Raw genomic sequence first — 26,895 nt, 5'->3', positions numbered from 1 at the left:
GTTTAAAATCTGCTCAGATTTCTTCGATATTCAGTGTTGTTAGTTTACGAGTTTCTGGAATTTATCAATTTCATCTAGGTTTCCAATTCATTGGTATATATTTGTTCAAAGCATATTTATGATTTTTTACTTCTGTAAAATTGATAGGAATATTTCCTTTCATTTATAATTTTAGTGATTTGAGTCATCTCCCTTTTTTCTTAGTCAATCTTGCCAGACATTTATACATTTTGTTGATTTTTTTTAAGAACCAACTTTGAATTTTGTTGATTTTTCTTTATTGTTTTTTCTATTACCTTTAATTGTTTATCTCTGTCTTAATTTTTATTTTCTTTTTCTGTATCAGTCAGGGTTCTCCAGACAGAATAAAGCCAATAGAAAGAAAGTAAAAGAGAGACAAAGAGAAAGAGAGAGAGAAAGAAAGAAAGAAAGAAAGACAGAAAGAAAGAAAGAAAGGAAGGAAGAAAGAAAAAGAAAGAAAGAAGAAAAAACAAAAGAAAACATTTATTATGAGAAATTATGAGCTATAAGTCTCATGATCTGCCATCTGCAAGCTGGAGACCCGGGACAGCCAGTTGTATAGTTCCAGCCCAAGTTTGTTATGGCTTGAGAACAAGGGAGTCAATGGTTTAAATCCCAGTCTGAGTCTGAAGGCCAAAGAACCAGGAGCACAAATGTATAAAGAAAAAATTAAATAACTTAGCTCAAGTAAAGAAGGTGAATGTGCTCTTCTGCCTTTGTGTTCCATTTGGTCTCTCAATGGATTCCATGATGTCCCCCAAATTTGGTGAGGACAATCTTTTTTATTTAGTCTATCAATTCAAATGCTAATCTCATCTGGACACACTCTCATAGACATTGGAAGAAATAATATTTTACCAGCTATCTGGACATCCTTTAGCCCATTAAAGTTAACACATAAAATTAACCTTTACATTTTCCTTCTGCTAGCTTTGGGTTTAGTTTTTAATTGTTTTCTGCCTCTTTGAGATAGAAATTCAGATTTTTGAGACTTTCTTCCTTTTTAATGTAAGCACCTGTGGCTATAATTTTCCCTTTTAGCACTGTTTTCACTTTATCCCATAAGTTTTGGTATATTTTGCTTTTATTGCCTTAAGATTTTTCTAATTTTTTGAAAATTTTTTTCCTTGACCCACTGTTTAAGAGTGTGTTGCTTAACTTCCATGTGGAATTTGTGGATTTTCCTGTGTTCCATTTGCTTTTGATTTCTAGTTTCAATCCATTATGATTGAAAAATATAATTTGTATAATTTTAACATTTAAAAGTTTATTAAGACTAACTTTGTGACCTAATATATGGTCTAACTTGGAAAACAACCCATGTGCACTTGAGAAAAGTATGTGATCTGCTATTGTTGGTGGGTTGTTCTGTATATGTCTGTTGGGTCCAATTGGTCTATAGTGTAGTTCAAGTCCTCTAACTCCTTATTACTCTTCAGTCTGGTTGTTCTGTCTATTCTTGAAGGTGTAGTATTGAAGTCTTATACTATTATTCTAGAATTATCTATTTCTTCCTTTAATTGGGTCAGTGTTTACTTCATATATTTAAGTGCTCTGGTGCTTGATGCATATATTTTTTATAAGTTGATACATAGTGTACATATTAGGTGCATAATGACTTTTGATACATACAATGCATAGTGATCAAATCAAGGTAATCAGCATATCCATCATTTCAAACACTTATATTTGTGTTGGGAACACAATATATAAGTTGAAGAGATTCTTCAAACTTTGAAAATATATAATAAATTATTATTGACCATAGTCACTCTACAGTGCTGTAAAACACTAGAACTTATTTCTTCTATCTAGCTGTAATTTTGTATCCTTTAACCAATCCTTCCTTATTCTCCTTCTTTCCTACCTACCGTTACTAGCCTCTAGTAACCACTATTCTACTCTCAACTTCTATGAGGTCATCTCTTTTAGCTTTTGCATGTGAGTGAGAACAAGTGCACTTGTTCTTATTATGATGACATTTTCTTGGTGCAGGGACACTTTTATTATATAGAGCCCTTATTTATCTTTTGTAACAGTTTTGACTTAAAGTCCATTTTGTCAGATATTCATATAGCCACCTCTGTTCCCTTTCGGTTACTATTTTTATGGAATATCTTTCTTATTATTTCACTTTCAATCTAATGCAGTTCTTAAATCCAAAGTGAGTCTCTTGTAGACACATATACTTGAACATTTGAAAAAACAGCTACCTATGCCAATTTTGTGGATTGGCTCATCCAAGGGAAGACATTCACTCATCAGCATGGTGTGAAATCTTATGCCTTTTCAGGTCATTTCTAAACATATGTATTTACTGAGCCTCTGTGTGTTCTTCTTCCTTCTCCCAAGTCCCGGTATACACAGCTGCTTTTATATATCCTATTTTCCTTAAGAGCCTTACTTCTGATTCTTTTCAGGACCTTAAGTCTTCTATTGTATTCCTCGGCCTCTACTCTGTTGCCTCCAGGACCCCATAGGTCTTGAATTCCCCAAAGCTTTAATGTGTTGTTGTGCCTATTGCGGCTTTCAGTGGCCTGAAACCTGATTTTCAAACTATATCATCATTCCCAATTACTCTCTGAGTTAGGGGAGAAAGAAACTATTCCTCTAGGAAGCCACAAAACAAGGGAGAAGTTCTACTCTTTTTCTTCCATTGTAAAGGAGGAACTCATGATAGAGACAGGAGACAGCCAAGGGTCCCTGGAGAAACCCTGATTTCAAGCCTAAAACAGCCTGAAAGCTGAAAACACTGGACTGCTGGTTGTGGATGACACCCACACTTTCTCAACTAATTCTTTCTGAATAATGCCCACCTGCACACTGGGAGGATGGGGTGGAGCCTCGGAATTCGTGCCCTTTGCATGGGGGAGGAGCGTGGCCTTGCCTGTTACTATGTGACCTGGGATTCAATCAGTGAGGCAGGAAACCTGCTAGCAGGACTCTCTCTGGCTTTGCTGAGTTGCTCTTGCCTTTTTTTTCACCCAGTGCACTCTGCCCTACTCACCCTACAATGTGTCCATGTGCCTAAATTTTCCTGGTCGTGTGACAAGAACCTGGTCTCTTCTATAACACGAGGAATTGAGTGGCTTCCCTCCTGAACATGCCAGGGAGGGGTGGGGGCACAAGTGAGCAGAAATGACCCCAAATTTCCTACCATGTTGAGTGTGGCTTTCTCTTGATGGACATTATCTTGGTTGCTGCAAATCCTTAACTGTTTCTAAAGTTTCCATAAAGCTATTGTGGTTAATATGTTGTTTACTTTGTGTTTCCATGAAGGAACAAGGACCTGGAGCTTCCTAGTCCACCATCTTTCTGATATTACTCCACTACTCTAGTATATTTTTACTGACATTTTTCTATAATTTTTTTTCCCTCTCATTACCTCTAAATGATGCCACAATCTTCAAGAGTAAGCACTGGCCTTTTTAATTGGATTAATGTGTGATGACACAGCAATAAAAGTCAAATCACTTATGACCTATGACCAGCACATTTAGGAGTTATAATTTATCAATTTGAATGACAATATTTTGGTATGCTTATTTAGCTTAGGTATTCTGCTATACACCTTATTTTATAGATCTTTATGCCTCGAGTGAATAAAAGGTGTCCTATACATAACTAATGCCCCAAAATTGATGACCATCATGATGGCATTTGTATAGTCTATTTCCCCATGAGCCCAAATCATAACCAATTGCTTACAGGGTTGACTTCTAAGAATCAAGTTGACTTCATGGTTTTCAATACTTAATGGAAAAAAAACTATAAATCTTCTGTAGATCTCTTATGATTTCCTGGATACTTTGTGTCCTTAGAAGAATATAACAGTTTTGGCTTCCAAAACATCCATCTTAGAATAGCGGGCATAGGAGACAGATTTATTTAGTTTCCTCCCATCAGGAGGATCCATCCTGCTGCAGCCAAAAATGCTTCTTTAGAAAATACCCACAAGTATTTGCTTAGGATTCTATGTTCCTCAAATATACCCTTCCAGCTCATCTTAAAATATCACTTTTTAATTATTCCTATTTTCTATTCTTTAATCTCCTTGAAGAAAGCATATACTGTAATAATTCTTTCCCCATATATAGTTATTCAAGAAGTCACTGGAAGTCATTCTGACGTTTCTATCATATATGCCTCTTCTAACTCTCAGCCCCTTTCAGCTCTCATCTCCCCACACATCATTAATTTCAGTGTCATCATCCCACTTAAAAACTCCACCTTTCCTATTGGGTAATGGTCACCCTCCTTTATGACCTCCATAGTTTAGTTTCAAACTACATCTCATCTCCACATTTATACCCCTTAATCCCCTTGATAAATCCTGTGTTCCCTCTGACTACACTTGTCTTCACATATTTAAAGTAAGCTGTTCTTCCTTGAATGTCCAACCATCACCCCTCTTGCCAAATTTGCTGATTTATAATTTTCATTCATTCAGAATGTATTTATTTTCTCATTTCCAAGTCCTGCTTCTTGCATTATTCTTACCCAGCTACTTTAGTCTTCAATGGGTTTGACTTCACTAGCACCACACAGTAATTTCTCTACCATATTCATTTGGTACTTTTGAGTACGATTTCTTGGCACATTTTTTTTGTCTATGTAATATGTTCTCAATTAGACTGTATTTTTCTTGAGGACAAGAAATTTACCAACTTCTTTATTGCTTTAATGGTTTCAACTAAGTGTCTATATTTATCTTTCTGAATAGTTACTGTTTTCCTTGATCACAAAAGCAATGATGGAAAGGATAGTGATGATGCTTACTCAGTAAGCACTGAAATCAACACACACACACACATAAACACTGTTCATAAGCGTGCATTGAAACATTTAATGTTTTATAGGTCAAAGTCAAGGGCATTCTCTATATATTCCTCTGATACCTACTGGCAATTTTTCAGGATTTGCCAAGAAACTTTTAAAATTCAAAAGCTTCTTGGCTGGTCTGCAAAATATTTGACCCAATAAATAATAATGTATGAATCCAGAAAGTTAATTATGCTAATTACATTTCCTTGGGGACTTCTGAATGGCATTGTGTTGACTCTTTCTTTCTATAGGATCATCATCACTAGGTTGATGTACTTTTCTTTCCTGTCTTTAACCCCTTAATATTTCTATTATTTCCCTAGATCCTGTGAAGAAGGGGAGGCTAAAGAGATCTTTCCATTTCTCTAAGCATCTGTTAGGGAGGAGAAAAACAGAATGAGTGGCTCTTGTCAGGAAAAACTTCTCAAAAGGGTATTTTTATTGCTGTTTGGGAGAAACTCAGATTCCTTAGATCAAAAATATGCTGCCAAGAACAAGCTGTCTTTCTTTGTTCAGGTCATTGGGCAAAAATGGCATGCTGGTTTCTTGTTATGTCATGGTTATGTGCTAACAGAAAAGTCACCCATACATTTAACTAGTGGTGCGCTCAGCCTAGAACCTGGCTCAGTTAAGGCCTTCCTTAAATATCTGTGAGTGTGTGTCAGTGGCACCCTCTGAATGTTTATGCAAATTAATGAAGCAGGCTAGTTATCTGTGATCTAATGATTAGTGTTGAAAATCAGTGTACGGCTTCCGTGGTGTCTCCTCTACTGAAATGTTCTCAGTCTTGGTGGTGTTATTTTCCAGTAGTAGTAAGCAGGGGTTTGAGAAGAATCATTTCTAAATAAGATTTTAGATTAAGCTTTTTCTCCTTCCACAACTCCCTTATAGCTCCTTCCCTTTGGGATCTTGCACATAAGCTTAGGTGTTCATAACTCCCATTGTGTTATCATCACTTCTTTGCTAAGAAAGAAACATGCATATTTACTAGAAGCCTTTTGGAGACATGGTAATGTGATAACTTGTAGCAATCATTCCAATGAGAGGAGTTTGGAGAATTCAGGTGACTATTTGGGGACTTTTTCTCCATTTCTCAGTTCATAGTTGAAATACTATCACCACTTTTTAATAATGGGACAGAGGTCCTGTTTTTCCAACTTACTTAAAAGGAAAAAGTCTAAAATGAGTAAAATATTTTTAAATTAATTGGCTCTTCTATTACAAAGAAAGACTGTCATTTTCAATGCAGTATGAAAGTGAATGAAAACAAGTGGAAAAACAAACCACAAAATAAATATGTGAACTCTAAAAATGACAATTATTTGGATATCATCTATTTTATTACTAATCTCTAAAATTTTATTACTAATCTCTAAAAACCAAAACATAATGCATTTTTTTAATGAATTTTCAGGAAGATGATGCTCTAATCTTTATTAAGTACATACTTAAAAAATTAAAAAAGAAAACATACTTGAGATGTCAAGATTAAATGTGTTTATTTTGAGTTAGTTAGTGAATACAATGGTATATTAGATACCAGCACTCCAAGCTACACCTATGTATTTGCCTCTAACTTTCACACGTTGTCAGTTTCCTTCCCTCTAATATTCCACCACTGGGCCTTCTATTTCTAGCAAAATCATGGTTCAAATTAAAAAGAAAAAAAAATGAAAGCAAGATTGGTCACCGTATTGTGCTTCCAGTGCCCCCAGAAGGATTTTAATTGTCTCAAATAGATGTTTATTGTTTTCATTAAAGGGGGGAAAAAAACATGATCACTAGTAATGGCACAACTAGAAGAGGAAACAGAATGCAGATTAAAAGAAGCATTTTAGGCTGGACTAGTTAATTTCCCCTCAGTTAAAAATCGACATAATATCACGGATATAGACTTCAAGGTTAAATTGTTCAATTCATGGGCCACACACTTAAGCGTATTGGCTAGTACATTTTTGCACTGAAACAGAAGCAATACAAGTTTTATGTTCTACCATTACACTTCCAGATTTTTCACTTATGCATATACCTGCCAACCTAATGATTCTTGCATGCATTAGAGTTTGCTTTTGTAGAGTTAAGTTTATTTTCCCCATCCCTCCCACTCCCATAAATATTGCGCCAATGCGAACTCTGTGCCCAATTTTATGAGAATGTTGCAAAGGACAGCTCTGTGCCACCTTAGTACAGGAATGTCCTGTCTCCTTCCCAGGCTACAGATGGATCAGTAGTATTGATCTCATCTCATCTTACATGCAAACAGACACTGTTCCCTTAATTTCCCCATGCCAGAGGCATACGAGCTGGCAGGTATGCATACAAAAATGGAATTAAAAAGAAAAAGAAAGAAAGAAAAGAAAGAAAAAGCTTTCTTGTTAAAACCTATCGTCCTAGAAGGAATCCATTGCTTTGAATTCACTTAAAGCCTGTACAGGCGAAATGTGTTTCTTCTGAGAACCTCGTCGAACTCGTGTCTGGAATTCTTCAGGCTTTTCTCTCTTCACAAGGGGCTTCTTCTCTGGAGCCTTCATCTTCCAAGACACAACAGGTGAGTTGACAGCTGCTGTCCCATAGACCTTCTGGTATTTGGTTGAGGCCACATAGGATGCTTTCACCGTGAGGACAACAGCATTCATCAGGTTTTTAGCTGCCTGGATAAGCGATGTGGCACTGTCCAGCTAGAGTAGGAAAAGAATGAGATACATGTGGGTTAATGGAGGCCCCAAATTCACAAAATGGTGATGTACTTTCACGGTTAAAATAATGTTTTCCTTGTGCAAATAAATAGTATTGCTGAAAAGGAGCAAATTATCACAAGTTAAGGTTTTTAAAATCTCAATACAGCTAATGGCAAAGCCCTCATCTTAGCAGGTAGGAATTCCAAGGTAACAAAAGTTTTCCAAAGTAGAACATCTCATATTATTACATTAGGGTAATTAGCAATGGTGACATTTACTCAAATGTTGGACAAGCATTTGGCAGACACTAAAGAAAAAAAGTTATAAGGGGTTACCTCTCAATTTTATGGCCCAAGAAATGGAAGTATCTATCTATAGGCTATTTCTGTATCTTGAGCTCAGGGTTGGTGAGGATACAGTCATTTAGGCAGAAGAACAATCCATGGGTGTTCTTGCTTCTATGAGGTGTTAATTGAGCTTGGAGTATCAATTTAACTATTAACAGGTCCTCAGTATACCTCCTATATAAATACTGATACTTATGTCAGGATCTCATAGCATTCAGTGAGACCTTCTCATACATGCATTAATGAAATATTCAGTATTTACTATGTGCCAAATACTATTATGAGAAATTTGTATTTTCCCACTTAGCTCTTGTTAACAACTCTATAATATAGGCATTATCGTCATGCCCTTTTAGAATGAGAGAGCTGATACATGCAGAGGTCCAGTAACTAGCACAGGTTTTAGTCTTTAAAGATACTACTCATCTGTACTGTCACCTTGTTGGATAGGATGGCTTTTAAAAATGCCAAGACAAGTCACAACTTGAGAATAGGTTTAGAGGCCCATCACCAGACTTTTAGGCCAGGAATATTTTGGGTTACCTTTTTTCTGTCTTTAAGTAGTTAGTGTGGTATGTACTGTATACTAGATCATTCAATATCTTCTTCAACCTTCTTGCTTCACTGCCTGCATCACAGATGCTGGGGTTATGTCTCAATGTTATAGCCCAACCAATGGAAGTACCTATTTATCTATACACTATTTCTATATCCTGAGCTCAGGATTGGTGAGGCTCAAAAATGCATTTCCTAGACTCTCCATCAGCCAGGAGTCTACATGTGAGCTAGTGAAAGAAAAGAATTAACAGCTGAACTGCAAATATCATTCCAGCCTCAGGGATGTTTGAGCATAGTCTGATCTTTCATCAAACTTCTTGTAACATCAACTAATGAGATATATCAATTACAGTTAACTGAAGGAAGCAAAGATGTTCTTAAGTATGCTGTTCCTAGTTGGAGAGATTATTTGTTGTGTAGCCTGTAATTCATGAACTTCATGAACTGTAGCTGCATTAAGCCTTCTGGGGGCTAGGTGACTAAGAAAGTGTTTAAACTGAGAGACTGTAGATCTTATGGTTCTTCCATCTGACGTGACTGGCATTCACTTTAGCTTCGTATCATTTCTTATTAACAAAATATGTCCCACGCAGTATTGAGGTTATCAGAAGTTGTATCTAACACAACTGTGATACTGTTCCTTTGGCTGCTTTTTGTTCCATATCCCTTATTTAAGCTAAATTAATGTTGCGCTGTGTTTTTAAAAATGTCAATCAAATGAGCTCAATTTTTCCATCACCAGAAAAGCTTGTAGTCTGACCATTGGGGAAAACAATGGAAGATGTTTTATATAATTGCTTTGTGAATTAACTCAACCAAATGGATGGAGTAACCCACTTACTTGATCACTTCTATTATGCCATACAAAATGCACGTATACCAAAATCACTGCTGAACCCCATACTCTTTCGTTTATACAGCCCAAATTTCTAAAGATAGCTAAGGAAAAGCAAACTCTAGGTTATTCATGTTAACAGGAGAGAAGCCAAGCATGAATTAGTGGGGTGATTCTCAAAGCCTAGTCCCTGAGGTGCAACAGCATCAGCATCACCCGGGAATCTGTTAGAAATCGCATTTATCAGGCCCAATCCAAAACTTACTGAATCAAAACCTTGCAATCTTTGTTTTAACTAGCTAGCCATCCAGGAGGTTCTGATACTTGCCAAAGTTTGAGAACCACTGGATTAATGAAACCTAAAGACTGTCTTGATGGTTTACTTTATCCAGTGATTTCAGGACTTCCGTCATACACAAGTTTGGTAATATCATAGCCAGTTATCTCACATGAATTTTACTTTTTCGTCTTTCCCATCTTACCCCCAGGTAGAAGTGTAAATAATGAAGGACAGAGATGAGACAGCAAAATGTTGGGAACAATCAGGAACAGATAAGTCACAGTTTCTTTAGAAGCTAAATACCTAACACCTTTGGCCAATGCACAGTTCTCTGTAAGTCTGTCAGGTTTCAAAAATGAGTAATGTTAATTCATAAAATTAGTTAATTCTATCGCATGCTATGAGTAAATAAAGGGTAAAATATGACAGGGACGTTTCATTGATTTGCTTTGGGCAACAGAATTAGTAGAAATAGAACAAGATGATATTGCTCTTGTATTATTAAATGGTCCCCAAAGAGTGAGTCTTGGGAGAATTGAGCTGATCTGAAGAGAAGGGATTACAAGTAAATTTGGAGATTTTTACCACAGATTCCATTTTCAAATAGATGGTGTTTAATTCTGCAGCAAAAATATGAGAGCCTGTCTCTTCTTCAGAACCCCTTTGCCTTTCAAACCTGATGCAGGAATCCTGTAAATAAACCTAATACACTGTTTGAGAGTGAGATAGCTTTGAAATATAAAGCCAAGAATTTTATTCAAGCCACCTGCTAAGGCAGATCTTGAATTTGCAGCAAGGTAAAGTGAGGAGGTGAGAGATCCAGCCAACTGAACTGGAACAAATATTTCCACAAACAATAAGCCCAATTTAAAGTTAATACAAAATTTGACTTTTAAAAAAAGTTGAATTTCCAAAGGTTACATTTTGCCCTTTTCTGTAGATGCACTTTCATGATTTAGATCATTATCAGCACAATCACAATTCTTTCCAATTTAAAAATGGGTTTCTTTATGCCTTTCCAAGATGGTGCCAAAACTCTGTTTTCCAATTGGCAAGGTTGGCTAAAACTTCACTTCCTAAAGAAAAGATATTAGAATAAAGCTGCATGGCAACAGTTTTTAAATACCAAGTTTAGGAACATTTATTTAACATAGTTGCATTCTCTTTTGTGACTTATTGTAATGATGGCGTTTTCAACAAGATAGGTAAGTGAATACGTATAAGTTTTCATAATAATCAAAATTCAGTGAGCACTTACTAGACGCCTGACATTGAGTCCTTTTAATTGTGTGATTTAATTTTCAAAAATTCTCGAAGTAGGAATGATTATTACTCCCCATTTAATAAGTGAGGAAGTTGAAGCTTAGGGAGGTAACGTAAGTTGTTGTCCCTGCAGTCATTGGCAAAGTAGGGATTAGGACCACTACTATCTCTCTCCAAGGCCCACTCATCTGAACCCCACCATGGAGCAATGTTCCCCCGAAGCATCACTTGATCTCTCAGGTCTTGTTTTTTAGTTATTGCCTATCCAAAATGAACTCTTTTCTACTAATGAACAGGCTGGAAGCCTGTCCCCTAAACCTGGCAACATCCTTTTAACATCATGGCTATGTCTGATAAGTGCTTCATCTCTCACAATCTGTGATTCTTAGTCTCATCCTCATAGCCCAAATCCTTGCTGACTATAGCCTCTGGCCTCAGGTATGTTGCTGCCCAGAGCTCAGCCCTTCCTTGTTCTTCCTGGCCTTGAGTCACCCTTATGGAAATAAATAGACACTGGAAACTGATCTCTGCTAATTTGTCTTGGATTTGCTCCATTATTCTGAAGCACATTTATACTAGGCAGGGCTCAGCTACTCTTATTAGTCATCTAATCCTTTACCTGGTCCAGTCTTGCTAGTTTTAAAATGGCCTCAAAAATCAACCACCTCTCAGCCCTTCCTCAAGCTGACCTGAATTACAGTGACAGGCCTTTTCAGCAGAAAGACATATCCATCTTTTCCTGGTTAAGGGCCTTTTATATTCCTATAGGATATCCCATTAAGTTCCTGTATCTAACCTAAGAGAAACTGCTTATTTTCAGCTAGTTTAAAAACAAGGGCATACATTTAACAAATTAGACCATGTGCTGTTTTCTGAACTAGTTCCCTGAGTTTCGTTTATTTCATTCTATCTCACAACCAGCCCTGAGACAAGGCTTGACCAATTGAGACTTAGAAGCATATAGCTTGCCCATTATCACACTGCTAACATGTGGTGAAGCCAAGATGTAAACCCAGGCCATCTAACCACTGAGCCCATGATCTTACCATTCCTCCATGCTATTTCCCAGAGCCATCCAGAGCAGATGAATCCTCAGCCCTCAAAATCTACCAAGATCTGCTACACTCATTCTCCCTATTCCATCCCATAGGTATCTGCTGTCCCTAACCACAGGAAATTAGACTTCTGCTAATTATTATGATTCTCTTAAAACATCAAAATACTATGTTTAAAAGAAAACAGATGTTTCCTCCCATCTTGTGCTATTACAGTCCATGAAAAGCAAATAGGGGCAGGAGAGCTGTTTTATAGGCCTTTCTATAGGACATTGTCTTTTTTTCCCCTGCCTCTATTCCTACTCTTCTTAATACCACTCAACTTCTAAAAGATTTCTGTTCCCTATACTCTCCTCATTTTGTGTTTTGAATGGGCAGAAAGACTGGAGCAAAGACTTATCTGAATTGTGATTCTTCCATTTATCAATATTTGTGCAGCCTAATTCCTTATATCACCAAAGCTGAAGAACATCGTAATAAGTATTTGAAATGACTCTTGCTACAGCTTATGTTATCAACTGAATATTTCTGAAAGCCTATGTCCTTAGCTGCATGCTACTTCATTCAAACAGGACTTATGCTGCAACAGGTGTTCAGTTTCAACAGAAACAGAATTCGACTGCAGAAGTCAACCACATTCTTTCAAAGGAAAGTGCAACTACACCTCTTGAAATGTTGAATTATCACTGACTTTTTATCCTCCAGTCTATCCCTACATTTTTCCATCTACACATCATCCAAGTATTTCTTCAGACACCTACTGAATACTTTCTGCCAACTACTGTGCTTAAGTGTTGGGTATAGAAACACAAATAGACATAAGCACTGAAACACAAGAGCTCACAATACAATGAGAAAAATAGACACAAACTAAAGGTTTTAACACTGTATGACAGTGTTTTAGTAGGATGCGAGATGCTAAATGAACAAAAGGAATAGCAATTTACCTTGAGTCAAGTAGGGATAGGAGAAGGGAAACAGCTTCATTGTGGGCATGATATCTAAACACTCTTTAATAAGAGGTTGTTGGTGACTGAATGGTTAACAGTGACGAGGAAGGACAATTCTCAAATACCTAACTAGTCCAACTTAGTATACATCAATGCTCTCAACCTAGATTGCGGAAATATAAAGGATGTTGAAGTGCTACAATGCTGAGTATAACTTTGGACATACCGAGTTTGAGGTGTGTATGTTACATCTAGGTGATTTATCAGAGGTCCAGTTGTATTTATGGGAGTAAATATTAAAAAAATCATGTTTTGCTTATATTGATCTTCCCAATTGTTTCATGTAGGGTGATGTTCTGCATACTGTAGGTGTATAACATGTTTGATTTTGTCCTTTCATATTCCTTACTGTTTTTACAAAGATTAAATCCATACACAAAAGTTCAATAAATTTACCAAAAAATTTCTCAGAATAAGACCTTTAAAATCAATATTAATATCCTTTTAATAATCTAAGATATTTTTAATAATCTAAGATATAACGTCATCAACAAGTATTTTACTTGAATAGAAAATAACCTTCCTTGGTTAAGTAGGGAATAGTTAAGTAATTAGCAATCTTTTACCCTTCAGAATGGTGAACTTCCTGAGGTAAGATAGAAATAAAATAAATGCTATTTTGTAACAGCTTGCTTTAAAAACAAATAATAGTATTGTCAAAAGTGAAAAATAATATAAAACAAGTAGGGGACACATTGCAGATGACATGACATAGTAAATGTCTTAGAATGTTAACTTGTGGAGGCCGGGCATACGATTAAAGAAGAGAATTAGGATTTGACTGTGTGTTCTGAATTCATATATTTACAATATGCATGGAGAGAGAGATCAATTTTCACATTGTATGTCTTTTTTCAAAAAAGCTGATCATCTACTAACAAAAATTAATGACACATAAATGGCAGTTCATGAAAATCCAAATCACAAAGCAATCTGTCATTGGATTAAAAATAATGCAAATGTCATGGGACCGCTGGCTAAGCTAAATAGAATAAAATAAGCCAAATCCATCTGGAAGGTGATTTTGAAATAAAAGAACTGAGGTGTTTACTTTGATTACTTCAAATGGCTTAGAAATGCCTGGAAGAAGGAACCAGTTCCATTTGGGCCTTGCTATTTTATTTTCATTTTTGTAAGTCAGAGCCAATAACACTAATGAGTTTGATAATGCTAAAATATTTCCCTAAATATGTGTAAAGTCCACTTTAGCCTTTTGCAATATTTTAAAATGGGAATAGCATAGCTTTAACATATAAGAACAAGAACGATTTTAAGGGGGTTGTTCTAAACATGTTCAGACCTAGAGTAGGTTTTCAGGGTAGGAAATTTTGATGGGAGAATTGGCAATAAATTGAAAGCAAACACCTCAAGGAAACTGGAATCTTTCCACTGGAGCTGGTCATTTATTTATATTTAAACTGTTATCTCCCTCAAAGGAGTCACATATTGCTTGCAAGGAAAAAAAAATTTTGCTACAAGTCAGCTTTGCTGTTAATGAATTAGAGGTTAGAAACCCAGAGCATTGGAGCCTATTATCCTCCAAGAAGAACATTTCATGTTTTAAAAATCCATGAGGCTTTGAAGACCTATTTGATGTCCTTAGAAACTGTGACATGTTTGAAATATCTTGAAATACCTGCGTACATTTTCCAGAGTCTATATCAATAACACTTTTTAAAAACCTCTAGAAAGTCCAGGGTAATAAATAACTCAAGCAAACAAAGACATGGTGAAAAGGTTCAGCCTAATCACATCTTTTCCCACTTAAGTTATCTCAGAATGTTTATATGTTCACAGAAAGACATTTCCTTGATAGCAAGCTCTCATTTCTGTGTTGGAGTCTACTCACTCTTTCTCATCAAACAAATTCTCATCCATAGTGTCCATGGCAGGCATTATTAATCACTCAGGCACCTTGCTCCTTCAGAATCTGCTAAGTAGTGTGGGAAAGGAAACTTATTTACCTCCCAAGAGCAGACATTTTAACAGGGTTGTCCAAAAAAACTTGATTCTGTTTATGGCACAGATATATCATCCATTGTATCACGACTTCTGTATTTGAATTGTTTGATTTCTATTGTTTGTTAGCTATCAAATATTGTCTGATACTGACTTTTTTGTTTTTTTGTTTTTTTTTGAGATGTTATCTCGCTGTCACCCAGGCTGGAGTGCAGTGGCACAATCTCGGCTCACTGCAACCTCCGCCTACCGGGTTCAAGCGATTCTCCTACCTCAGCCTCCTGAGTAGCTGGGATTACAGATGTGTGCCACCACGCCTGGCTAATTTGTGTATTTTTAGTAGAGATGGGGGTTTCACCATGTTGGTCAGGCTGGTCTTGAACTCCTGACCTCATGATCTGCCCACCTCGACCTCCCAAAGTGCTGGAATTACAGGCGTGAGCCACCGCGCCCGGCCGACAAATATTTTTATCTAAAGGATGTTGCATTTATGCTTTTATTTCCACAGCTGATTTTACAGACATATTGTGCACTTTTTTGTACTAATACCATATTATGAGTTGCTAATTAATGAAATCATTAAGGAGAAGATTTAAGTATTAACAGAAATGCAAAACATTTTGGGGATGATTTTAAATCAGGTGATAAAAATTGGTTGCATATTTTAACAAGGAAGGATGGTGTTAGAGGTAAAAGTGACCATCACAGATATGTTGTATTTATTGTTAAAAACACAGACACACACACACACACACACACACACATCAAGGCTGGGCATGGTGGTTCATGCCTATAATCCCAGCATTTTAGGAGGCCGAGGTGGGCGGATCACTTGAGGTCAGGAGATCGAGACCAGTCTGGCCAACATGGTGAAACCCCATCTCTACCAAAAATACAAAAATTAGCCTGGCGTGGTGGCAGGTGCCTGTAATCCCAACTACTGGGGAGGCTGAGGCAGGAGAATCACTTGAACCCAGGAGGCGGAGGTTGTAGTGAGCTGAGATGGAGCCACTGCACTCCACCCTGGGTGACAGAAACAGACTGTGTCTCAAAACAAACAAAACCACATTAAAAGAGTTAATATTACAACACATACTGATCCCTGATAAGTGAAATTCTGTGCGATAACTCCTAAAGAGTTTCAAATTCCATTTGATAACAGGATCTTGTAAAGCAAATATTTTACAGCTCTAAGTAGTGGATCAATTACACAGAAAAGAGGACAAGAGGTCTGTTATCTTTTCTTCAGGGCTTCCTTAAGTAATGCCAGAGAACCAGCCAGTGCTGAAGGCCAGTTGTGAGGAAATCTGTATGGAATGGCTCAAGATTAAATTGGCAAAGACCTTGGCAGGAAGGCACTGCAGGCTGTCAGGCTAAGAAAAAATTCTCCACAGCCTTGCTGAGGAATTTACCACTTGGCTCTTTGGTAACTTTCTCAACTGGACATATTTTGTGTCTTCATTTTTAATTCATTTACATAGGTAGTAGTGCTTCATAGTCGGCCAGTCCACTGATTAACTGTCTTCATTTGCATTTTTTCAATTATGGGTAAGTAAACCTTGGGGACGCCCATGAAATCTTAATTATAGTCAACAAATTTCCTAAATATGGCTTAGAGCCATTTTTTTTCTCACCAATAAAGGTGAAACAGTTTTTGCTCAACCCGAAACAAGGCATTCTTTCTAACATGGAAATCTCAAAGATAAGTGGGAGTACTGACAGGTTGGCCCTTGGAAAGTTCGGAACAGGGCCACCTGTTTATCCAGGTAGTCCCCACCTTCTTTTCCTATACTTACTCTTTCCTTGCCTTCCTTTCAGCACCCTCGCTTATCCCAACCCTTCAGGATCTCCTGCCAGAGACCTCCTCTAAGTTATTGGTTTCCATGTAACAAAAAAATCATGAGGAATTATGCAACAAAGAGAAGAGCCAATGGGCTTTCAGGCACCCCCCCCATAATTGGGAAATATTCTTGGGCAGACAGTCCTTATGTCACATGAATACATAAGGCATTAACTGTTGATCTTGTCTCTGATTCTGTGCATCAGCATGTCTTGACCACCCAAGGTTTATGTCTCATAAATAATTATGCAAGGAGCTAAGCCTCCTTTTTGCCTTACCGATAGGAGAGCCAGCTAGCAGAGCATCACTACCTTTGATCCCTCTATTTCTACCCTTCTCCCTCCCTAGGTGATATCATCATGACCAGAAGACAAATGTAAGAGGAACAATTATCTAGGAACCCATGAGAAATATGTTTTCATAAAATGGATCAAAGTCACTAAATGACCCCACCCTTTCTGAACTGCCTAACCTTGTATGAACATGGTATCTGCTGCTAAGTACTGAAGGCCATTTAATAACTTGCAAAATGGCTCCTACCCTCCAGCATGCAATGCATAATCACTGAGAGAAAAGTAGACTAGAAGAGTCAAAGGCTGCGGTTTGGGTGCAGGTTGGTGGAGTACTATGCCTGGAAAATTAGCAAAATCTGAAGATCTGGAACGATCCTTCCTCATTCTTTCACTTCTCTTCTCATCTAAGCCCTAGGAGCTATGTTCTAATGTGGCATTATTCATATGTTGGGGGAAGTAAACACCCATGCAGCCTGTGATCCTCTCCTCATCAGGTGTATGGAAATAACTAGTCAAAGGCTCTGTTGCTACCGAGGTCCAGGATGAGGAGAGAGCAGAGAGATTCCGTTCCCAGTGAATGTTTGCTGCCTCTCCTTGGGACCCCAGCCCCTTTTGTTCCTGTGATCACCTCTTCCCCACCTCTTTCTTCCTCTCCTGTGCACTCTCTGTCACTGGTAATTCATTCTTACATGCATGTTTTCATCTCTCCTACTGAGGGAAACCTGGACTCTAGACTTAAAGCCTGAGTTCAAACCTTGACTGGATGGATCACTAACTACACGATCTTGAACAACCACTAAACTTACCTCTACCTCATAAAAGTTCTTTAAAATTAAAAATGAAAATAGCACTTTCTAGTATTATAAAGCATTAAATGAGATAATGCCACTGAAGTTGAGTGCCTGGCACATGGTAAGCCCTTAATACATCTCAGCTTTTATTATTATTATGACCCATCTTTCCTTAAATCACCAGGTGAGTCCAAACATGGTCTTAAAAAATTTATGTTTCTCTTTTCCTACATCTTCATCCTTCTTTTCCTTTCAAAGTTTCCCCCATTCAGCATTTTAGATTTTTTTAAACTCTCTTCTTACTGAAGCTACCACCATCTTGGCTTGGTCTCAGTGCCTGAATATTACAGTTTTAGGGATAAGGAATGGAGAAGTTCATGAGGGGAATAGGAAAATACCAACACTTATGTATCTTTTCTAGCACTACTGAATCCTTTAGATGGAATAAAGGGGTAGTCAAGACTGAGTGCAAGAAAACATAGGAATTTTATGTAAAAATGTGACACCTAAAATATCTAAGAACATTTAGGACTTGGTAAGGAATATTGATAATAGAGAGTCAAGGTGGCTCTACTAGAAGGTGTAGGAAAGGCAATCTAGCCTGGGAAGCTGATGTTTAAACATGTAATTTGGGAAGCATCAAAATAAATAGTCTATATAAAATATTTTATACGACCACTTCAAGGACCTTAAATTCCCCAAATTCCAGCTATTCATTTTGGTTAAGAATATCATTTATAAATATCTCATATTAAAAACCAAATGGTGTTACCTGGTAAAGGATGACACCACCTTACCTCATTCGATTCTCAGGTATACACTGTTAGACCCCAGCTGAGATCCCTCACTACCCCTAAAAGGGAGCCCCCTTCTTGTTTGGAAGTGCCTACCAAACACTGAAGGCCAAATCTCCCAAAGCTCTGTGTTTATCTCCTTCAAAACACAAACACTTGGGTTCCCTAGCACTGTTTCCTAAATCTTTAACTGTATTTTGCTACAAAGTGGGTTATAAATGCATAATTTTTAATCTTTTATTCGGTCTTAAACCACTGAAGCCAGCACCTGCCATCTCTAACTAAGACTGACCTTATCTCAGCATCTAAGTCTACCAATAAATTCCCAGTTTCGAATCTACATATTCTTTAGGATTACTTGAAAATCTCATCCAACTAGCTTTCCAGAACATAAGTACAACAATCTTGCTGCCTTTGGTCCTGCTCTGCACACATTTACTAACCAAATAAAGTAGCAAATGGCAGGTTATATGAAAAGACCTTCCAAAGAACAAATCCAAGGTTATTGAAAAGGACAGTGCCTGGGCTAATGGGTGTAAAAGCCAGGAAAAGGCAAGAAGATATATATCAAAAAAAAAAAAAAAAAAAGCAATGGGCATCCTTAAGACAACCCATACTTGTCAATACTCTAAGCCCTTTCTAGAACCAATAAAACAAGGATGATTAGTGTGTGACACATTTACTGCCATTTCTTCATTGGTATCCTTAACAGATATGCCCAATCAATCAGGTCCTTTTTTCCTACTGATCCTAGCCATGGTCTCAGCATTCTTCTCAACACATAGCTCAGTCAAACACTAGCAATTGATGAGAGTTAGCAATCATCATAAAACCATTTACCATATCCAGTGTGGGCCTTCTAACTAACAGAACTGCACAGGAGAGGGCTATGATTTGACTCATGTCACCTGTGCAATCATTGCTCCAATTAAGAGTATATTAATATCACTTCTACCTCTAATATAATTTCTCCTCACATAATTCATAACGAATGAGCTCTTAACTATAGCACAGAAAATTGAAGTAAAATGTTAGACACATATGTAGCTATATAAAATAATTCACTACATTAACCTAAAATTTCAACTCTTTTTTCATTACAGAAATTAGAATTAAGAGGAAATGCTATCATCATTTAAGGGCTCATAAGAGGTCTTTAGTATAATAGTTTAAAAATCAGTAATTTTAACTAAATTAGTTTTAAATTTGAGCAGTCGATCCATGGGTTTTTAATAATTGAACTTTTTCTGTCTTCTTTAAAATATTTTTTGAGTTGACACAGAATAATGCCCTCCAAATCATTTTCTTTTTTCCTGGTCACTGCTTTTTCCATTGTGAGCTGTAAATCCACCACTAACATTAACACACATTCAAATAATTTTCAAATGATTACTGTGTACACGATCACAGATGCAGGTAGGGGTTTCCTATTACTTTTAACAATGAGTTGTAACCATTCTATTATCTATCTTCCATCTAAATTATACTTCAGGTTCTTGCAAGAGTTATCTTCACAAAGACCACCTCTTGACATGAAGAGAATGATCTAAGCATCCGTAAGCCTTTTCTTGTAGACTGTTCCCAACCTTCCAGAGACAGTGAGAGCTCTATGATTAACTCCACCCTTGCCCCTAACCTGACCCTCGTGCATGCCTCTTCATCTCAGTTATTGGCAACACAGTTCTTCCCAATGCTTTGGTTAAACACCCAGAATCTTATGCTATACCTGTTTTCTCCAACTCAACATCTAATCTGCCATCATGTCCTGTCAGCAATATTTTCAAAACATATCTATTACTTGATCTCTTTTCATCTTCTTCACTCTTATCCACTTGGCCAACTTCTCAGAACCTCTTACTGGCTTGTTACAAAAGCTTCCCCTAACTAGTTTCCTTGCTTCCCACCCTTTACCCCGTTTATTCTCAAATGGAAGCGAGAACGATCCTGTTACATGAACTCAATATCACTTATCTTATCAACAACCTTGAGTGGCTTCCCAATCACAGACTGAGTTAAATCCAAATCTATCAAAATGGTCTTCACATGGGGCCCAATACTTCTGATTTTGCTCTCATTAACTCAATTCCTAAATACTGGTTTCTTGTTTACTGCTCAGAAAGACCAGTCATGTTTGCAATGTAAGGCCTTAGCGCTTACTATTTCTTCTGCCTAGAAAACTCTTCCCCACCTGAGATACCTGTAAGGCTTGCTCCCTCACATCCATCTGAACTTTATCCAAATATCAGCATCTTGGTGAAAACTACCCAAGCCATACTTTTCAAATTGCAGCTCCATTTCCATCCTCATGCCTTAATTTGCCATTCTTTCTCTATTTTAATATTCTTATATACTCATATTTTTATGTTTCTTGTTCACCACCTCCCATTATATCCCAAACATCTAAAACAGTGCCTAGCATATGAGTCCTCCATAAATATTTGCCGAGATGTTGAAGCATTGTAATTTTATGGGTGGGGAAATAGGACGTGAAAGGCTTGTCCAAAGACACAAAGCTAGGGCACAATGCCTAGTTCAGTATCCATTCTTACTACCTATTCATTCTTGCAAATACATGAGATTGTCAGGAGAGTAAAATTTGGAGAAATAAAAGAGAAAGTAAACTTCAGCCAAATTGCAATACGTATCTATGTCTTCTTCCTCTTACTGTACCTTGCATGTAAGCATTTCAAGATCAGTCTTTGCTCAAAAGACAGCCACAATTTAAAAACCATCTCCTCCATTAATAGCACCAGCATCTAAGAGGCACAGAATTATGTTTGCTAGGTATAGTGCTGGTGCCTTAATAAATTAATCTTCATAACATGTACAAGTTGAATACCATCATTGCTGCTTTATATATGAGAAAACCGAAATAGAGAAAAGTTAACTTTTTTTGGTCTACTTGAAGGCTCATAAAATTCATTTCTGGGTAGAACATGCAGTCTTCTTTGACCAGGCAGATCTACCATAGGCTTTTCCTGCCCTAAGTCTTTATTCCTGGCTATTGATGCCATTTATGTGGAGGGAAACATGCCTTATGATGTGTTTTAACTGTTCACAAGCGTGAGTCATGTGACGAAGCAGTCATGAGGTGAACTTCCTTAAGCCATAAGGGGAGAAAAGTTGTACAAACTCCCAATCTTGCCATCAGGATTCACCTGAGATATGAATTAGTCAAATTGCAGGGAACATCATCTTCCACTTTTTCATTTTCTTGCCAGCAGCCAAAAAAGCTGTCTACATGTTCACAGAAAACTTGATTAAATACAATTAAATACAACTTCTAATTCTCCTTATCCCTAAACGTTATATACCACTTATTTATCAAAAAATTTAAAAACTTTTAAAACATAATCTTTTAATGTGTCATGCAGCACACACCACGAAATGATGTGAGGCTGATAATATAATTTATAAGAACCTAATACATATTACCTGTTATCATCTATACCATCTGAAACATGCTATTCCCTGTATTTCTTGTTCAACCACTAGTCTACAGAGCACAGAGATACCAGCACCATCCTTACACTGCACAAAGCACAAGATAATACATTAGAGAAACTGGCTCTAAGTCTTGGCTGTCCCACTTACTGGCTGTGAAAGTTTGGACACTCTGTAATCTCTTTGAGTTTCTATTTATTTTTTCAACTGTAAAAGGGGGTTAATAACAATATACTTTTGTGAGTTATTCTGAGGTCCAAGTGAGAAAATAAAATACTTGTTAAATTTTAGAGAAGTCTGTGACTATAAAAGATTATTACATCACCTCTGGGTACCTTTGGGAAGTTCTTTTGGGATCTTCATTTTAATTTATTAGAACTCCTCGGTGCCTCAGTCCCAGGGTCTTGGCTCCACAGGAGAGGGTATTCCAACAGATGACCAGCATAGCATGAGGGCATGATAAGCCCTAGCAAAACAAGAGAAAAGTACTTCTAAAAGAAGTTTTCTTCTTCTACCTGAAGTACTCGTGGGGTAGCCTAGTTACGATCTTATTTTTTTCCAGTTACAGAGAATGGTCAGGAAATACAGTTTCCAAACTATAGAACACAGGAAACATGCTTGGGGCCCTCAAATTTGGCTTTGGAGTGCAGCACAAAAAGACAAAGAAATTCAACCAAAAACTGAAGGTAGACCATTCTTACAATAGGAGCTGTCAGCTCATTGATGAGCCTGTCCTTGGTGATTCCACCTTAAATCTGGTTGCCATTTATTCTGGAATCAAATCTTTAGTTACTTATTTACTGCATTGTCCTCCAAGACTGTGTGTGTGTGTGTGTGTTGGGGTGGGGGGGGTCATGTTGCCATAGCTAGATTTCTGAGTCTTTATGAATAAGTAGCTTCTTGCCCACCTTTACTGGTATGCTGGTATGTTCTCCACTAAGGCTAGAACCACATAAATCATGCTGGGATTCGCTGTACAAATGGAGATTATGGATGGTCTGTTCTGTGAAGGATTCTCTTATGTTTCCTTGGTGCAGGCTGCCCCTGAACATCAATTATTTATCAGTCAGGTGGTCTTATGCATCAATTTAATAATCAATAAAAGTTGATTAGTACTTCTCTATTGGTTAATATACTTTATTTTTTTTCCAGATTCAAAACATATTGACCCTCCCAACCAATTAGATCTCTCCTATATGCTACTATCACTTAATTCTCAACAACAACAACAACAAAAAGTACTACATCACTTTAGGCGCATCATTCTACAGATAGGAAACTGAGGCTTAGGGAGGAAGAACTTGCTAGCTAATAGACAATTACCAGGGATTCAAGCGCATGACCTGTATCCTCAGGTATAGTGCATTTATCAATATACCACAGTTCCAACTGCCTTTAAATAAAAGATGAAATAAAGGGCATTTAAGGTGGTTCTCCTAATAAGCCAGGATACTTCTCCATATAGGTGCCTGCCAGGGCTTGGCCTAATTGGAACCTTCTAGTCTGTTTCTCCTGGAGTGAATGTACTTCAGGGAAAATTCAGCAAAAGCGCCAAAGGGTTCCCTTCAATCTAAAACTGGAAATATCATCTCTTTGGTCCAACAAAGAGCCTCCATGGATGGACAACATATTGTCTGTTCCCTTGCAACGAGGCTGAGTTATACAAGAAACTTTCAAAACAACAGATTAAAGGAATCGAATCCTCAGCGGACTGGAAATGCATAATAGTGTTGCTAAAAAAAAAAAAAAAAAAATTAGTGGTTTCTTTGAAAGAAAGCCTCAAGTTCATGCAATTGGAAAACTTCTTTGAAAAAAAAGTACTACCTTTAACTTCCAATAAGATGACAACTTTTAACCAAGGAACAAAGATAAACATTAAAGGGCTGGAGATGGTATGATACAGTATCTTGTACCTACTAAAAATCATGCTTAATATTAAGATGAAAGTTTCCTCATGGCACAATTGCTATCTTAGAGTCCCTGTGAATCTAGCCTTTGACAAAGTTAAATCACCTCCATATTTATTACAAGATGTAAAGGTTGCATCATTATTCCTTTATCTGATACATTAAAAAATGCCAGGAAAAATTCTTCAATTATACCGAAGGTATATCTTTGAAAGAAAGCATGATTTCTGTTACATCTGAAGTCACTGCCTGTTACAGTTCTCCAATTTTCTTTTAAAAAACGAATGCTAAGCCATGCAACTTCTTCAGCTTCTACCTACAACTTGCTTGGTTTGAAGGGCTCACCCAGCACTAATTTCAACATGGCAGAGTTACTCATCATCATAATATATATTAACAAACACAGAAGCAATTTGAATCTCAAGGGGATCCTTAGCCTTATGTTCTTAACATTATTAAAATGATTATTTTAACTATCACTTTAGTTTTTTCTTATTTTTTAAAATGTAGTTACTCATTCTCTCACCATGTAAAAATTTTATTTTAACTATTTATTTTTATTTATTTATTTTTGAGACGGAGTCTTGCTCCGTTGCCAGGCTGGAGTGTAGCGGCGCAATCTCGGCTCACTGCAACCTCCACCTCTTGGGTTCAAGCGATTCTCCTGCCTCAGTCTCCCAAGTAGCTGGGATTACAGGCATGCCCCACCATGCCCAGCTAATTTTTTTATTTTTAGTAGAGACGGGGTTTTACCATGTTGGCCAGTATGGTCTTGATCTCTTGAGTTTGTGATCCACCCGCCTCGGCCTCCCAAAGTGCTGGGATTACAGGCATGAGCAAAAATTTTAAAATGTACAGAGAGACAGAGAGACTAGGTAAATATGTAATGACATATGAAAAGGTTTTCTAAAAAAGCGGTAGGAAAACAATTGTTTTAACTTCAATACTCTTGTTTGTAAAAAGTAAGAAGTGAAAGCCATTTTACCTTGTTTAAACTTTTATTTCAGACAATATTTTCACTGAAACCCTTAATTACCGTTGGGAATAGAAATACATAAGCTCTAAGACAGGAAGATTTGGGGATAACCAGGCAAAGAGGTAGATCTAGACCTCTGTACTTTGTAGAAAGGTTATGTCTAGAGGATTACTGTGGTGGGCTCTCAGGGGCCTGACTTTTAGAGAAGTGTACCTCCACCCACTGACACCTGGCTGGAAACGAGGTTGGCAGCTAAATCTGGAACTATCTTATCTGCCATCTTCCACCCTTCCAGAGGGAAGACTTGAAAGGCTCCATTTAAAGCAGTATGTTTATCCTAGGTGAAAGGTCAAGATTTCAACCAGTCCTATGGTTCTCATCTAGGGGTAATTTTGCCACCCACTCCAGGATACGTTCAGCAAAGTTTGGAGATGTTTGTGATTATCACTACTGGAGAAGAAAAGTTGCTACAGGCATCTAGTTGGGAGAAGCCAAAGATGTTCTTAAACATCCTACAGTGGATAACTACAACAAGCTCCCTATAGTAAAGAATTATCCAAACGAGGCTAGACTGAACCAGCCTGAAGAAGCAAACCCAGTTTTCCTAGAAAAGGGACTAGGAAAGGGATTAAACTGTCTGGAGAAATTCTCACTATAGCCTATAGGTTTCTCTTTCCTCCACTTCCTAGACCAGTGTTTTTTTAAAAGTGTGATCCATGAATCATCTGTATCCGAAAGATTTAGGAATAAAATGCAGATTCCTGATCCCTTCTCAGAGCTGAGTTTCAGAACTGTGGATTTCAGGAATCTCCATTTTGGTTGGCTACCCATGAGATTCGTTTTACAGAGTGAAATGTGACAATCACTGTTTCACTTCTATTGAGGTTATTCCTTTCTGTATTTTCAACTATCCCCTCTCTGTCGGTGATTCCTCAAGGACTCCCAGTGACAAAAGAATGCAATCTTGATGACAGCAGAGACCTTGATTCGTTGGTTGCTCACTGCTGTTATGTCCAGCACCTTCCTTGGGGTAGACATGATATAAGAACCGGAGGGCACCAATATTATCCAAAAGACTATATAGTCTTTTGTGGGGAGAGAAGATAACAAAAAATACCTACTCATTTATTTAGTACACCTACATTCTGGACCCTGTGCTCAATGTATGGTGCACATCAATACCATTAATCCTAACAATAACTCAATGAAGTAGATACTAATATCATTTTCACTTTACAGCTGAGAAAATGGGGCTCAGAGAGGTGAGGCAACTTGCTCAGGTCATATAGCCAGCTACTGAAAGTCAGCATTCAGTTCTTGTTCCACTCAATGGAGGGCATACACTTGCAAGAACTGCACCCCAAGCCTAACTCTTCCCAGTGCTTTTCAGATTCCTCATATGATGGGGATCATCGTGCCACTCAAAGCCTTCATTGGCAGCTTCTATCTGCCAGTATAACTCAGCAAGGGAAGGCTACTGGGAAACAAAGCCCTCTACCTCCCAGAAAAGCTGGTATGCTGTAGGCAGGAGTTACCTATCTTAATTCCCTAAAAACTGTAGAAAAAAAAGCCTTTTAAACTGTTTGCGGAACAACTAAATATGAGTATTGAGTTTCAAAAAACTACAAAGAATAGGTTTTGTATAAGGTGTAAGAATAGGTTTTGTGTAAGGTGTAAGGAAGGGATCCAACTTCAGCTTTCTGCATATGGTTAGCCAGTTTTCCCAACACTATTTATTAATAAATAGTGTTGGGAAAACTGGTTGTAGATGTGTGGTGTTATTTCTGAGGCCTCTGTTCTGTTCCATTGGTTGATATCTCTGGTTTGGTACCAGTACCATGCTGTTTTTGTTACTGTAGCCTTGTAGTAGTTTGAAGTCAGGTAACGTGATGCCTCCAGCTTTGTTCTTTTTGCTTAGGATTGTCTTGGCTATGTGGGCTCTTTTTTGGTTCCACATGAAATTTAAAGTGTTTTTTTTTCCAATTCTGTGAAGAAAGTCAATGGTAGCTTGATGGGGATA

At 37.4% G+C, this 26,895-nt stretch overlaps 1 protein-coding gene across 15 annotated transcripts in view; it reads right to left on the bottom strand.

The window, feature by feature from the left end:
- Positions 1-6,327: 6,327 nt before the first annotated feature.
- Positions 6,328-26,895, bottom strand: part of CTNNA2 (catenin alpha 2) — a 1,463,404-nt gene continuing 1,442,836 nt past the window's right edge. For 13 of the 15 annotated variants that reach the window (NM_001399737.1, XM_024452714.2, XM_011532556.3 and 10 more), the window contains one exon: positions 6,328-7,523. In NM_001399737.1, coding sequence (NP_001386666.1) covers positions 7,236-7,523 — 288 coding nt within the window. In that variant the 3' untranslated portion in view covers positions 6,328-7,235. Of the gene's footprint in view, positions 7,524-22,330; positions 22,459-22,507; positions 23,037-26,895 lie in introns of those variants that run through there. The other 2 variants (XM_047443447.1, XM_017003405.3) reach the window with 2 other exon arrangements.

Source organism: Homo sapiens, chromosome 2 (assembly GCF_000001405.40).
Source record: "Homo sapiens chromosome 2, GRCh38.p14 Primary Assembly".
Taxonomy (NCBI): Eukaryota; Metazoa; Chordata; class Mammalia; order Primates; family Hominidae; genus Homo; species Homo sapiens.
The sequence above is the reverse complement of the archived record's forward strand: the minus strand, read 5'-3'. Positions and strand labels throughout refer to the sequence as shown.